The sequence below is a fragment of the Homo sapiens genome, chromosome 10, assembly GCF_000001405.40.
Source record: "Homo sapiens chromosome 10, GRCh38.p14 Primary Assembly".
NCBI lineage: Eukaryota > Metazoa > Chordata > Mammalia > Primates > Hominidae > Homo > Homo sapiens.
This window is the reverse complement of record NC_000010.11, coordinates 128,069,686-128,082,275: the sequence shown is the minus strand read 5'-3', so window position 1 is coordinate 128,082,275 and position 12,590 is coordinate 128,069,686. Positions and strand designations below refer to the sequence as shown.

Genomic DNA, 12,590 nt, shown 5'->3' with positions numbered 1-12,590 from the left:
TGCCACTGCACCACTGCACTCCAGCCTAGGTGACAGAGTGAGACCCTGTCTCAAAAAAAAAAAAAAAAAAAAAAAAAAAAGAAAGAGAAAAAAATCAGAGTACTAACATTGCCAGATAAATTTCATAAAGCGATCTATAAAAGTTAAATAAAATGCATATCTAGATTATTTTAAAGCCTACATTTACTGTACAAAAGGGACATTGTTTTATATATAGGCTGGTCCTCCCAGACCCCTGGGTGGGATATGTGAGTTTGGGGCCGGGACAGGGGCTTGGAAAGCCGGAGAGGCCAAGAGCTGTCCTCAGCACCTCCCTGCTTCTTTCCAACACATTGCACTTGGGCTCTTCTCAGCACACAGTGAACAAATATCTAAATGCTTTTGGGTGGAAAGATGCCAAACAGCTAGCTTAGCCCTTCCTGAGTCCCGGTCTGGCCAGGATGGGAAGGAGCTGAGTTTTCCAGAGAAGGAAAAGGTGAGCCTGAAACTTTGCTTCTGAATTTGCATGAAGTTGTTGGAAGAGCCAAGACCACATTGTAGGGTCCTCACTTCTGGCTACTAAGACACGCAGCTGATCACCCAGCCTTCAGAAGGAAAGGGAATTGAATTCTTAGAAGGAATTCTCAATAAATATACAGGCTCTCTTTAAAGAGGCAAACAGCTTAAAGCAACATTGACTTTTCCAACTTAAAGCAACATTGACTGAATATCAAAGCTGGCTCAGTCTGGGATGGAAATGGAGACGATCACTAATTACTCTGTTTTCATAGCTAACACAGCAGCTAACTGCTGACCATCCCACGTAGTCTCGAGTACAAGTGATTGGGGCCAGTGATGGATGAAGTGTACTTTGGAGTGTGCTCGGATGATACAAGCCACACCTCAGGTCACAGACAGACATTTCTGGTCAATCCACAGACTCCAGGAGAACAGATGTACTTGTGGCCTTTGAAATGTCAGTTCCAACCAAAGCCTACCTAGGATGCTGGAAGCAAGTCTTCCCTGAGTGCTCAGCAATTGGAAACTGGTTCTTGGGCCACTGTGCTCACCTGCAGGGCTAAATCAACCTGCAGGTCAGCAATCATCTCTTTACTCAATAATATTTTTGTGCCTGTGTTTTTTTTTTGCCAAAATCTCCCTGCCAAATGTTAGATCTGGCAGCATACAGTACTAGTTAAGCCTTTCCCTTCTGGAATCAGATAGAGTTTGAATCTCATTCTGACACTTAATACCTGAAGATCTCAGGCAGGCCCCTCAACCGTCCTAACTGGAGGCACCTGCAGAACACTCCTTGTGAACAGAAGCAGGCACAAGGGCAAGCAGATGGTGAAGATGAAATGAGAAAGACATCTGTAAGGCACCTGGTTGCACTGCGCCCAACGCCTGATGGTTATTTAGTGACTCTTCTCCCTCATTCGTTTGCTGATTCACCACTTGCTCTGGAGCCCTCGCCACGGGCCAGGCATTGGACTAGACCCTTTACTCTAAAAGTCAGGCTACAAAGTGCTCTGTCAAGCTGTTACCAGGCAAGAGAGCACAGATGACAGCCACACAACATCTGAGGGCAGCTTCTCAGTCAGGGAGCATGGAGGGGCAAGCTGCGGTCAGGAAGAGCACAGCTGAGACGGGAGGACACCTGGATGACAGATGCTCTCGAAGATAGAATATATTGGCCAGACCAGGCAGATTAATGAGAGCTGTGAGTCCCTAAAAAGACTAGGGGAAGCTCTGTATGCTACTGCTTAGAGAGATGGTCTTTGCTGTAGGTCGTTGGGTGTGGATGGACAGACCCGCCCTCAGCTCAGGTGTCCTCGCTCCTGCTGCGCCTTGCTGTGAGGGGGACGTAGAAGGGCCTCCTTCCTGCCTCTCTATGCACAGGGCGCTGCGTGAGCCAGGATTGTCAGCGTGGAGAGTGAGCAGGCAGGGAGGACAGGTGCGAAGTGGGAAGCTTTGGTAAAAAGGATGCATTGTAACAGGCTTTAAAATTGTACTCGCTGGGTTAGCAGCACGAGCCATAGTATTTGGTGAGGAGGAATCGCTTCTGAAAACCAGAAAGCAGGAGTCCTTGAAATGAAAGAATGTACGGGGAAAACTACTAATACATTAGGGATTCCTGCAGCCCGTGGACGGTATCTTGAGGCTGAGTGAGACCCCGCCAGGGAAAACAAGCCACATGGACGAGTATAACATTGAAATGAGAAGGACCAGGATTTTAAATTTCAGTGCTGCTTTTGAACTTGATAAGAGTATGTTTTTCAGTGCACACAGGACTCTCGTAGAATAGTTCACTTTGACACAAAAGCTCCTATCCTCAGTGCGTCTCTCCGAGTGGTCTCAGACATTGAAACTGGCGGACAGGCCCCTCCTCCCGGGTCTTGCCCAGAAGACACCCACGTCACAGACCCAAGGAAGGAGGGCTCTGCAGAGGTTTACTGCGAAACATTGCAGCTGGCTCTTTTCCTTGGGAATTTTACCTTCCCACCTCCCCCATGTACTTAAGGTCCTTTAATGAAACATACATCAAATACAACATGAAATAATTCTCCACTCTTCTGGTAACATCCTTATTCAGATTCTTACCAGGGTTTGCACCATATGTGGTCTCTGAAGTCGTAAACTCTTCACAGCTTGAAATACATCTAAAAGTCCCTCGGCTTTTACTCGCTCCAAAATGTTGCTGAGGGCTATGAATGTACCTGTTCGCCCAGCTCCGGCACTGCAGAGAAAAAGCGCTTAATGCAGATCATCCGACTTGCACTTGGGGATGAGAAATGGAGAGCTGACAGCCAACCCCTGCATATCAGCACTGAAGCAACAATCGCTGAAAATGATCTGAGTTTGACTGAATTTTTTTTTGATCATTTGTATGTAGTGTAACTTCTGAGCAAGATTTAGCAAATGTAAAATTCCTAAAACACCTCCCTAATTACAGGAGACCGATATTTTATAAAATGAGACAGGACCAGTGACAAGTTTTTAAGCAAGTATCACCATTTCCCCTCTTCCTTGTGTAGGGCAATGGTTCTCAAAGTGTGGTCCCTGGACCAGCAGCACAGTTGGCACCTGGGAACTTGCCAGAAATGCAAACCCTCCCAGTTCAGGTCTAGGAAGGAGGTAATCTTGGCATACCCTCTCCTTACTGTGCCAGGGGTGTCTTCTGAAACAGGTGATGCTGAAAGGGAGGGGCAGTTTAAGGACATTCACAACCAGGAACAGTCAACTGACACTTCCCAGCAAGGCCGATTTGAGTCATCTCCATTTACCATGGTCATTTGCTGATAAACCCCACAAGAGCAGAGCCCAGGCCCTCGTAGGAGAGCCCAGGTGTACTGGGCTGGAGGAGGTGGGGTGGACCGGCCTCTTCCAGCAGGTCTTCTGGAGATGCCTGGCTGCCCTCTGTGCTCCATAATCTCACATGTGGGCTTATTCCAAGGCTCCTGTCCTGCCGCAATGATCGGCCCCGCATCTGCGTTCTCACAGGTGGGATCTTGTTCACCTCTGCATCTCCAGTGCCCTATGGAACTCATTTCAAGTTTATCCTAAATGATTTCTTGGAAGGCACCAGGAAAACCAAAAACCGAGGTGTGTGCTCCACCTACTGGCCAGGCCAGGAGTGCACCCCGGTGGGGTCCAGGCAGGGAGAGAGCTCTGCCAGCTATAAGGGGTGGGACAGTGGGTGGGGGTGAAAGGCAGTCACAAAGAGTGGGCGCCACCAGTGTGAGACAAGCCATGGAACTGCAGTTTCAGGAGCACATTAGCACCACCCAAGGATAGAAACACCCCAAGCTCCTGCTTGGAAGAACCTTGCCGGGTGTCGAGGTCCCTGCCAGCAGAAGTGTGCAGCAGGATCAGAACTACAGAGGCACAGAAGGCAGGCAAGTGGGTGGCCAGTGGGCTTGACCAGATTTGCGTATCTGCCCCTGGGCGTGCTGTGTTTCACGCCTTCACCTGCGGACTAAGCATGTCCCACCTGCCCAGGGTGTCCCTCTGCCTTTGGGCCTGACTTGGGAGCCAGGCTGAGGCTGCAGGACCAGCGTGGCTACAATCCCAGTTGGGACTCCTCATATGGCCAGGAATCCCAGCCCATGGGAGAGGGCGGGTGTAGGCCAATGCAGCCCAGTAAGGCAGTCTCTCAAAACCCACCCAGGAACTTGAAGTCCAGGAGTGTGTTCCTCCGAGCCCTGCCTGGCAATTTTTTGATGACTTCAAAAGCACATGGAAATGTGTGTTTGAGTGGTTTCCCAACTCCACCCTCTGAAGTGCATTCTGCATTTATGTTAAGATGACACACATGCATCTTATGTATGATACGATGACATGTATGTACTTAAGTGAAGTCGTGTGTGCATGTGTGTAAGGAGAGGTAGAGAGGAGACTCTAGGGAATACCATGGCCAGGGGCAGCGACCAGGCTCTGCTGCCCACAGCTGCGGGTACTGGGGGGGTGCAGCCTGTGTCCACCCCACCTGGAGGGCTTCGGGCTGGGGGCTCACCTGCAGTGCACGGTGATGGGGTGGTTGCCTGTCTGCTGCTGCTGCTTCTGCACGGCTGCGATGAGGTCAATCATGCCTTTGCCCTCGGCGGGAATCCCGATCTCAGGCCAGCCGTGGAAGTGAAACTGGCGCACTACTCGGACCTGCTCCTCCTGGCGGGCCTGGGGCTGCAGGGAGGAGAGGGGGTCTCAGCGTCGCCTGCCTGCCGGGGAACAGGCCCCAGCCCCATCTGCCCTCTCAGGGATTGGCCAAGGCTGGGAGCCCTCCCTGAGCCTTCTGTGCTGCCAACATCCCCACCGAGGCAGCCTGAAGGAGAAGGCTGAAACCTGCTTGTCCTAAAGAAGAAGGCAGGTGGCTGGCTGTGCTTCCTTCTGCAAGGGGGAGCGAGCCGTCCAGAGGACATCCCCTGGATCCCTGTGAGGACTGCCCAACCCCTACGGGATCCTTGGCAGCTCTGCTGGAGAGAAGGGAATCACTTTCTCAAGAAACCAGGGCCCTGCATTTCCCTTCAGAGCTCAAATGAGCAGCATCTGAGTCTGGTGGCCAGGGTGGCTCTGTGGCTGGCATGGAGGAGACAGTGGCAGGTGCATTACGTGATACTGACTGTTTGGAGCTCAGCATCAAGACCTGTGTACAAGTGAGTCATCCTACCTACAGCTGACCCCGAGTTCTCATTCTTTGCCAAGGAGAGAGGATGAGCAGAACCAAGGACCCAGTGGAAATGGGGACAGTTGGGGGGCTCTGAGAAGGCACCTGGAGGAGGGCCCCAGAGAGGCCCCTGTGGCTTCATTAGTCCCCTTTGTTCTTCCTCTTACAGCTAATGGCTAATGTAATTCTCCTGAGAGATAAATGGGAGGTAGGCAGCTAGGGAGATGGGAATTGTACAGGAGGCCTGCCACTGTCTCTGAAACCCATTGGCCATTCATAGCCAATGGGACTAGGTGAAGGAGCAGGACAGGTGCAGGGCCACATTCTGGTTCAATGACAAGCAGAACCCAGAGGGAGGGCGTGGTTCACTAAATTCACAAGCGTTTAAAGAGCTACTTCAACAATACCTGATTGAGAGTGACCAGAAAGTCTCGTATACTGATGGCTTCTGAAAGGGTATCATTCTTTATCTCAATCGTTATTTCTCCATGAGTAACTGAGCCCTCGGTTGGCCAATACTGGTAGCATTTATCCTTAGGGGATAAAATAAAAATTTAAGTCTTGTAATAAATAATTTGCTGCTGGCGATTTTGAGTTTATAACACAGAATTGTTCTCAAACCAGTTAATGTATTTCATCTGACCAAAAAAAAAAACATATGAATATGAATATAAATGCCTGTTAATGCTTGTTGACCCAGGGAACAGAACAGAGTCTAGAAACAGACACATATATATATGAAACCTTAACATATGGCAGAAAGGAGAGATTCTTCAATATGTGGGGCTGGAAAAATTGGTTTTCTACCTGGGGAAAATGAAATTGGATCCCTGACTCATTCCCTACCAGGGTTGATGTGAGTGCCCCCAGCTCTTCCTAGAACTGGGCAGTGTACACCCTGCACTTCCACGTGTCATGGCCTTGAACCTTAATAAAAATACACCCAGATGGAGTAAGGTTTAAGGTAAAAAACAAAACTGTGAAACTCTTGGAAGAAGAAATATCTTTTCACTTTGAGGTACACAAGGATTACTAGACAAGAGCCCAAACAGCTAACCAATCACGATGCAACAATTTGAAACATTGGATTACAGTAACATTCACTTCTCTTCATCAACAAACATCATTAACAGAGTGAAAAGACACGCCACAGATTGCAATAAGATGTTTGCAATACATAAAACCAATAAAGAATTAGTATCAAGATTACGTAAAGAGCTCCTATAAATCAATAAGAAAGGACAAACAATAGAAAAATCAGTGAAAGGCAGGAACAGGCATTTGACACAAGAGGAAATATGTCATCCACAAATATATGAAGTGATGGGGTTGACCTTGGAATCAGAATGATGCAAATCAGAGCCACAAAAAGATAGTATTTATACAATAATTATACAATGAACAATATTTTGTTAATTTTCAATTAACAATAATTAGGACACCTTGAGAATACCATACTAGGTATGTAGATGAATGATATCTCTTATACATTGTTGATGTCCACTTTGGAAAGCAATTAGGAATTATCTTGCAAATTCAAACTTTCACATACTCTTCAATGAAGCATTTTGGCTCTTTGATACATCTTAGTCCTAGTGCAGCATAAGACATGTACAAGAATATACAGGTAGGGAGAACACAAGGACACAGGGAGGGGAACAACACACACTGGGGCCAGTTGGGGGGTGGAGGGTGAGGGGAGGGAGAGCATTAGGACAAATAGCTAATGCATACAGGGCTTAAAACCTAGATGATGGGTTGACAGGTGCAGCAAACTACCATGCACATGTATACCTATGTAACAAAACTATACATTCTGCACTTGTCTCCAGAACTTAAAGTTTTAAAAAAAGAATGTACAGGTAGCACTGTTTGTAAAACAACGAAATGAAACCAACTCAAGTGCCCATGACAGGAGAAGGAATACCTGAGCTAATGCAGGATATAGTTTGTGCAGTGGAATATAATGAAATAATGATGACGAATGAACCACAGCATAAGCATCAACATAGAATATCAAAAGCACAATTTTGAGTGGAAGAAGCAAGTCTCAGAAGACAACATGCTGTAATGATGCTCTTTCTATAAAGTTCAAACACAAGTAAAACTAAACAACAGTCTACGTAGGCATAAACAGATGTGATTTTAAAAGATGTTTTAAAAAAGCAAAGAACATATCCACTAGGATGGCTTTAATCAAAAAGACAATGACAATGTTGGTGAGGATGTGGAGAAATTAGAACCTTATATATTGCTGGTAGGAATGTAAAATGGGGCAGCTACTGAGGAAAACAGTCTGGCAGGTCCTCAAAAATGTTAAACAGTAAGTTTATGACATAGAGTTATGACGTGACCTAGCAATTCCGCTCCTAGTATATACACTCCTAGGCGTATACCCAAGGGAAGTGAAAAAGCATGTCCATACAAAAACTACTACCTGAATGTTCAAGAAACTTTTTTTTTTTTTTTGAGACAGAGTCTTGTTCTGTCCCCCAGGCTGGAGTGCAATGGCGCGATCTCAGCTCAATGCAACCTCTGCCTCCCAGGTTCAAGCGATTCTCCCTGCCTCAGCCTCCCAAGTAGCTGGGATTGCAGGTTCCCGCCACCATGCCCAGCTAATTTTTGTATTTTTAGTAGAAGCGGGGTTTTGCCATGTTGGCCAGGCTGGCCGCGAACTCCTGACCTCAGGTGATCTGCCCGCCTTGGACTCCCAAAGGGCTGGGATTACAGGTGTGAGCAACCGCACCAAGCAAAGCAGCACTATTTATAATAGCTCCAAAGTGGAAACAACCTAAATGTCCATCAACTGATGAATGGATATGCAGAGTGTAGTATATCCACACAAGCAAATACTATTTGCCAGTAAAAAAGAATGATTTACTGATTCATGCTACAACATAGATGAACCTTGAAAGCATGATGCTAAGTGAAAGAACCCAATCACGGAAGACCACATACTGTATGATTCCATTTATAATAATGTCCAGAATAGACAAACCCATAGTCAGGAAGCAGATTAGTGGTTGCCAGGGGTTAGGGGAAGGAAGGAATGGGGAGTGACTGTTAATGGTACGAGGTTTCCTTTTGGGTTGATGAAAATGATCACAGATTAGATAGTGGTGGTGGTTGCACAACTCTGTGAATATACTCCAATTCACTGAATTGTACCCTTTAAAAAGATGAATTGCATGAATTATAGGTGAATTATATCACAATAAAGCTGTTCCTTTTTAGAGCAAAGAAATAAAAACACAAATACACAGCAGTAGTTATGTCTTGGGGGAGAACCCAGATAGATGTACATTGTTGGTAAACCTTGGGTTTACTGTTGTCTTCATGTCTTGAAAAAAGTCAATAAATGTCTTTTTCTTCAACAGGTTATGATCTTGGCCAATACCAAATGGCAGAATTTCAGGGCAGGTTAAATAACATGTAGGCTAAGGATAAAGGGCAGCGGGTAGCTATGGTTAAACCTCACTCCCAAAAAGGGAAAGGGTGAAATGAAACCTTTTTCATTTCCAATCTCTCTCCTTCCCTAGTGGTCCTGGCTTGGTCTCACCCATGTGTTTGCAGTGATGGCAGGTGGGACATTTGTAATGAACGGGGACAGTGCCTCAGGTGCACAGGCTGCCCTGGAGGGACCGGGCTGGGCGGCACTCCTCACCTGCTCTCTCTCCTGCACCTCCGTCAGCATCACGATAGTGTGGGATTTCCATTCCCAGATCATCCTCCAGAAGTCCTCAACCGTGTGTGCCAGTGGCCCCTGGGTGGCGATGAAATAGTCCTTCTGTCGGTAGCCCTTCAAATGGAGGCGCAGAGGTTAGAGTCTGACTTCCTTCCATCCTGGCTCCATTACCTGCTCCCTAAGTTTAGGACAGCCTAAGGCCTAATGAGGAAAACTCTCTCATCCTCCATGGTCTGCACCAGACCCCAGTTGGCACGAGCACTCAGGCACACACCTGACAAGCAGGTCAAGAAGCTCGCTTATCTGAAACCATAACGGCCACCGTCAGCCCCTGAGGTCATCAACAAATGGGTATTATGAACTGGTAGTTGCCTGTGGCCACCTGAACAGCACCTGGTGGCTTAGATTCTAACATGTTTCTGTGTGTTTCAGCTAGATCAGCATGGAGCCCACCGGATTCTGGTACAATTTTCTCATCTGCAAATGGCAATATGAACACACACTTGGCTGCCATTCCCCCTTTTGCCCTTCTTCTGCGAACTCCACTGTGCATGAAGACAGCCTCTGTGTGCCCTGAACACATAATTGTATTGTCCACGTGGGTACACATTGCAGAAATCACACAAGAGAAAGAGCACAGAGGCAGTGGATATATAATTGGTGTGTAACAGATATGTAAAAGAAAAATAACTATATATTAAAAGCAGAATGAAAAAAGAGCCAATTACTTAGCAGCGAGTCTATGTCCTTCTATTTCCAAAGTCCACTTTTTTTTTTTTTTTTTTTTTTTTTTGAGAGGGGGTCTCGCTCTCACTCTGTTGCCCAGGTTGGAGTACAGTGGTGTAATCTCAGCTCACTGCAACCTCAGCCTCCCGGATTCAAGCAATTCTCCTGCCTCAGCTTCCCAAGTAGCTGGGATTACAGGCACCTGCCATCACGCCCAGCTAATTTTTGTATTTTTAGTAGAGACGGGTTTTGCCATATTGGCCAGGCTAGTTTCAAACTCCTGACCCCAAGTGATCTGCCCGCCTTAGCTTCCCAAAGTGTTGGGATTACAGGTGTGAGCCATCGTGCCTTGCCACTTTTTTTTTTAAGCAAGTAATTCTGCTAACAAAAATGGCTGAGTTTCTGGAAACATGTCAATTCTTTCTCATTGTGAAAACAAGCTAATCAAGTCTGTGGTCACATGTGAAGGAAACACATCTGCATAAACACAACCCAGGCCAGCATACGTACGTCTATGAAGGATGCGTTGATGTAGTCTGTGTATTCTTGACCCCTTTTCATGGAAAGGATCACTCGGTTGAAGTCATCTGCAAAGCATTATCTTCCTTTAGTTATTACAAAAAGGGTCCCACCTTGCTAACTTTAATCCATTGCTACAAGCTTGCAAAATATAGATCCTATTAATAAAATCACTACGTAAAGCCAACTCTTTGGAAAGTTTACGTTATGAGAGACGATAATTAAAGTGGCTCAGGGGTATTTTTCTTTTTGAAGGAAAACTCTGAAAACCACCCAATTATCATTTTCATTTTTCAGGAATCGATATAATACATACCAAAATACAAGCACTAAAAATATTGCGCTGAAGGAGTAAATGGAATGTGGCCAGGCAAGCAATCTAGAGTGGCCAGCAGGACACCGGGGCCCCAGAAAACCAAGGGCCAGAGTCTGAAGATGGCAGCACCCCGGGGAGCTCTACTCGCCTGCAGTGCTCGGGGAGACCCTGCTGCAGCAGGCCTGCTCCCAGCTGTTTCCAGATGGTGTTTGTTGAGCTGTGACTCTGTCGAGGACAAGTCTATAACGAGGCACACCCTCCTCCCAAGCGGGGCATCTCCCACCTCCCTCCCTAGTTCCTCGGATCCCTGTGGAGTCTGCTTTGGGGCCGGGTTTCTCAAGTTTCTCTTTTTCCCACTTGGTGAGCCTCCCGATTCCCACTCCCCTGCCCACTGCATGTGGCCCTGTCTTCTTGCCAGCTTTGCCTCCACTCCTCCCACACCTGCCAGGTCCTCCTTCCCTCTCCCATGACCTGGGTGGCAGACCAGTGTCCTGACTCTACCCTAGGCCCATTTCTTGTCCTCCTCAAGGCCACAGCCTTTTCCTAGGTGGTCTCAGCTGAGTTCACCTGCATGGCCTCGGCTGGGTGGCTCAGGCCCCTCTGTGTAAGGGGGAGGCGGGCCTCTGCCCAGGCTTGGGGAGACAAGGAATGAGACAAGGAATCCCAAGTCGTGCCTGCCGCAAATCTCCAGCTTCTGTGAAGCCCTCCCCTGAAATCAGCCTCGGCTGCCCTCCCGCATCTGCAAGCTCATATCCGAAGCAGCTTGCCTGAGACCCATGCAGGACTGTCTGGGTCAGCTGGTGCTTCACAGGTGTCTTTTCTACCTGACATTTGGTACAGCACACAGGAGCCCTTAGCCTGAGGCCAGAGGACACCCTGCTTTTGACCCTGGTGCACAGGGGTAAGCGGTCAATGGCTTCTCCAGGATGAAAGCCTCCGGCACCAGCCCCGCCCCAGCCCTGCCCAAGCCACGCCACGGGTGCCTTACACGGGATGATCTGGATGACCCTGGCCTTCTTCATGTTTGCCGGCAAGTTGCCCGTCCTCATGTTCTCCTTCATGATCCGGACATTTGTCAATTTCTGCAGCAGAGAAGGATATAATGACACAGTTAAACCTCTGACACTCCTGAGCACATTGCTCAGCCGAGGACTAGTGCTGCTGGCAAGGACGCCTGCTCAAAGGAAACCACTCTCCAACCCAGGAAGCCTCCTTAGCATTGGGAAATACAAATGTGTGCCTAGTAGGGCTGCTATGAGGCTCTGAAAGCCACCTGATCCTTCTTCCCTTGTAAATCATGGCTCAGGTATTGCCCCTGCTTTTTCTGAGGTCAGTTAAGGGGCAAGTGATTGAAAGAGGCTTCCTTTAAATGGTCACCTGTTTTCCTCGTGCCCTTGGCTGCTTACACCAGGATGGAGAGGAGGGTCAGCTGTACTCACCCTGAACTCCTCCTCCAGCCCGATCTTGTCGAAGTGGGTGGTGGTGCCGTGCATGGTCTGCAGGTGCTTCTCCAGGGAGGACACGTCCAGCTCTGTGTCCCCGTAGAGGTAGTACTCGAGTAAGGCTTGGTAGATGAACGTGTACTGCATCTGCAGAGAGGCCAGGGGTGCCCACACCCTCAACTCTGCCCTGCAGTCTTGGCCCACGTGGAGCTTGGCAGACCAAAGAGGGCGGCTTTCTTCTTTTTCTCTTTTTGCCAACACAAGGAGGTGTGAGGCAAGAGTCAGAGTACCGGCCACGGATAACGACCATTTATGCCCTTGAGTAAGGAGAACGGTAGCAGCAGAGCCTCACATTGGTGAGCACGCCACGCACTGTGTACATGCACCGTTTGGGGGAGTAGGATTGCCCCATCTCACATGAGGATACGAGGGAAAGATGAGGACGAGGGAGTCCCTGAGGTCCCACGCGTGGGCAGGGAAGGCTATGGGGAGCGAAGCCAGGCCAGGCCCAGGCTGGTTGCCACGTGCCCATCAGAGCCAGGGCCCTGCACACCTGTGTGGCGAAGGCATCGGGTTTGCTTTGGGAAGCTAGATCAGGGCAAGAGGAAGGCATGACTCACATCCGTTTGAACCATCTGAGGGCGCTGATTACGGATTCGAGACACAAATTCAAACACATCCACCTTCTGCTCCGCGTGCATCATGGCCATCATGGCATCGATCACAATGAAGGTGCCCGTCCGGCCCACGCCCGCGCTTTGG

At 48.3% G+C, this 12,590-nt stretch overlaps 1 protein-coding gene across 23 annotated transcripts in view, besides 3 other annotated features; it reads right to left on the bottom strand.

Annotated features, from left to right (window-relative positions):
- Nucleotides 1–12,590, bottom strand: part of PTPRE (protein tyrosine phosphatase receptor type E) — a 178,753-nt gene that overhangs the window by 3,580 nt on the left and 162,583 nt on the right. For 19 of the 23 annotated variants that reach the window (NM_001316676.2, NM_006504.6, XM_047425578.1 and 16 more), the window contains 8 exons: nucleotides 12,449–12,584; nucleotides 11,826–11,975; nucleotides 11,375–11,468; nucleotides 10,062–10,138; nucleotides 8,805–8,939; nucleotides 5,548–5,673; nucleotides 4,493–4,659; nucleotides 2,581–2,716 (listed from right to left, as the gene is read on the bottom strand). In NM_001316676.2, coding sequence (NP_001303605.1) covers nucleotides 2,581–2,716; nucleotides 4,493–4,659; nucleotides 5,548–5,673; nucleotides 8,805–8,939; nucleotides 10,062–10,138; nucleotides 11,375–11,468; nucleotides 11,826–11,975; nucleotides 12,449–12,584 — 1,021 coding nt within the window. Of the gene's footprint in view, nucleotides 1–2,580; nucleotides 2,717–4,492; nucleotides 4,660–5,547; nucleotides 5,674–8,804; nucleotides 8,940–10,061; nucleotides 10,139–10,547; nucleotides 10,612–11,374; nucleotides 11,469–11,825; nucleotides 11,976–12,448; nucleotides 12,585–12,590 lie in introns of those variants that run through there. The other 4 variants (XM_011539995.2, XM_047425582.1, XM_011539996.2 and 1 more) reach the window with 3 other exon arrangements.
- Nucleotides 3,382–3,881: an enhancer, noted in NCBI's record as "H3K4me1 hESC enhancer chr10:129876659-129877158 (GRCh37/hg19 assembly coordinates)". NCBI's record gives its function as "activates a minimal SCP1, AML or CMV promoter by ChIP-STARR-seq in primed H9 embryonic stem cells {active_cell/tissue: H9 hESC(primed)}" and the evidence as "EXISTENCE:reporter gene assay evidence [ECO:0000049][PMID:30033119]".
- Nucleotides 3,437–3,731: a silencer, noted in NCBI's record as "tiled region #15565; HepG2 Repressive non-DNase unmatched - State 12:CtcfO". NCBI's record gives its function as "represses a minimal TATA promoter and a strong SV40 promoter by Sharpr-MPRA in HepG2 cells {active_cell/tissue: HepG2}" and the evidence as "EXISTENCE:reporter gene assay evidence [ECO:0000049][PMID:27701403]".
- Nucleotides 3,882–4,383: an enhancer, noted in NCBI's record as "H3K4me1 hESC enhancer chr10:129876157-129876658 (GRCh37/hg19 assembly coordinates)". NCBI's record gives its function as "activates a minimal SCP1, AML or CMV promoter by ChIP-STARR-seq in primed H9 embryonic stem cells {active_cell/tissue: H9 hESC(primed)}" and the evidence as "EXISTENCE:reporter gene assay evidence [ECO:0000049][PMID:30033119]".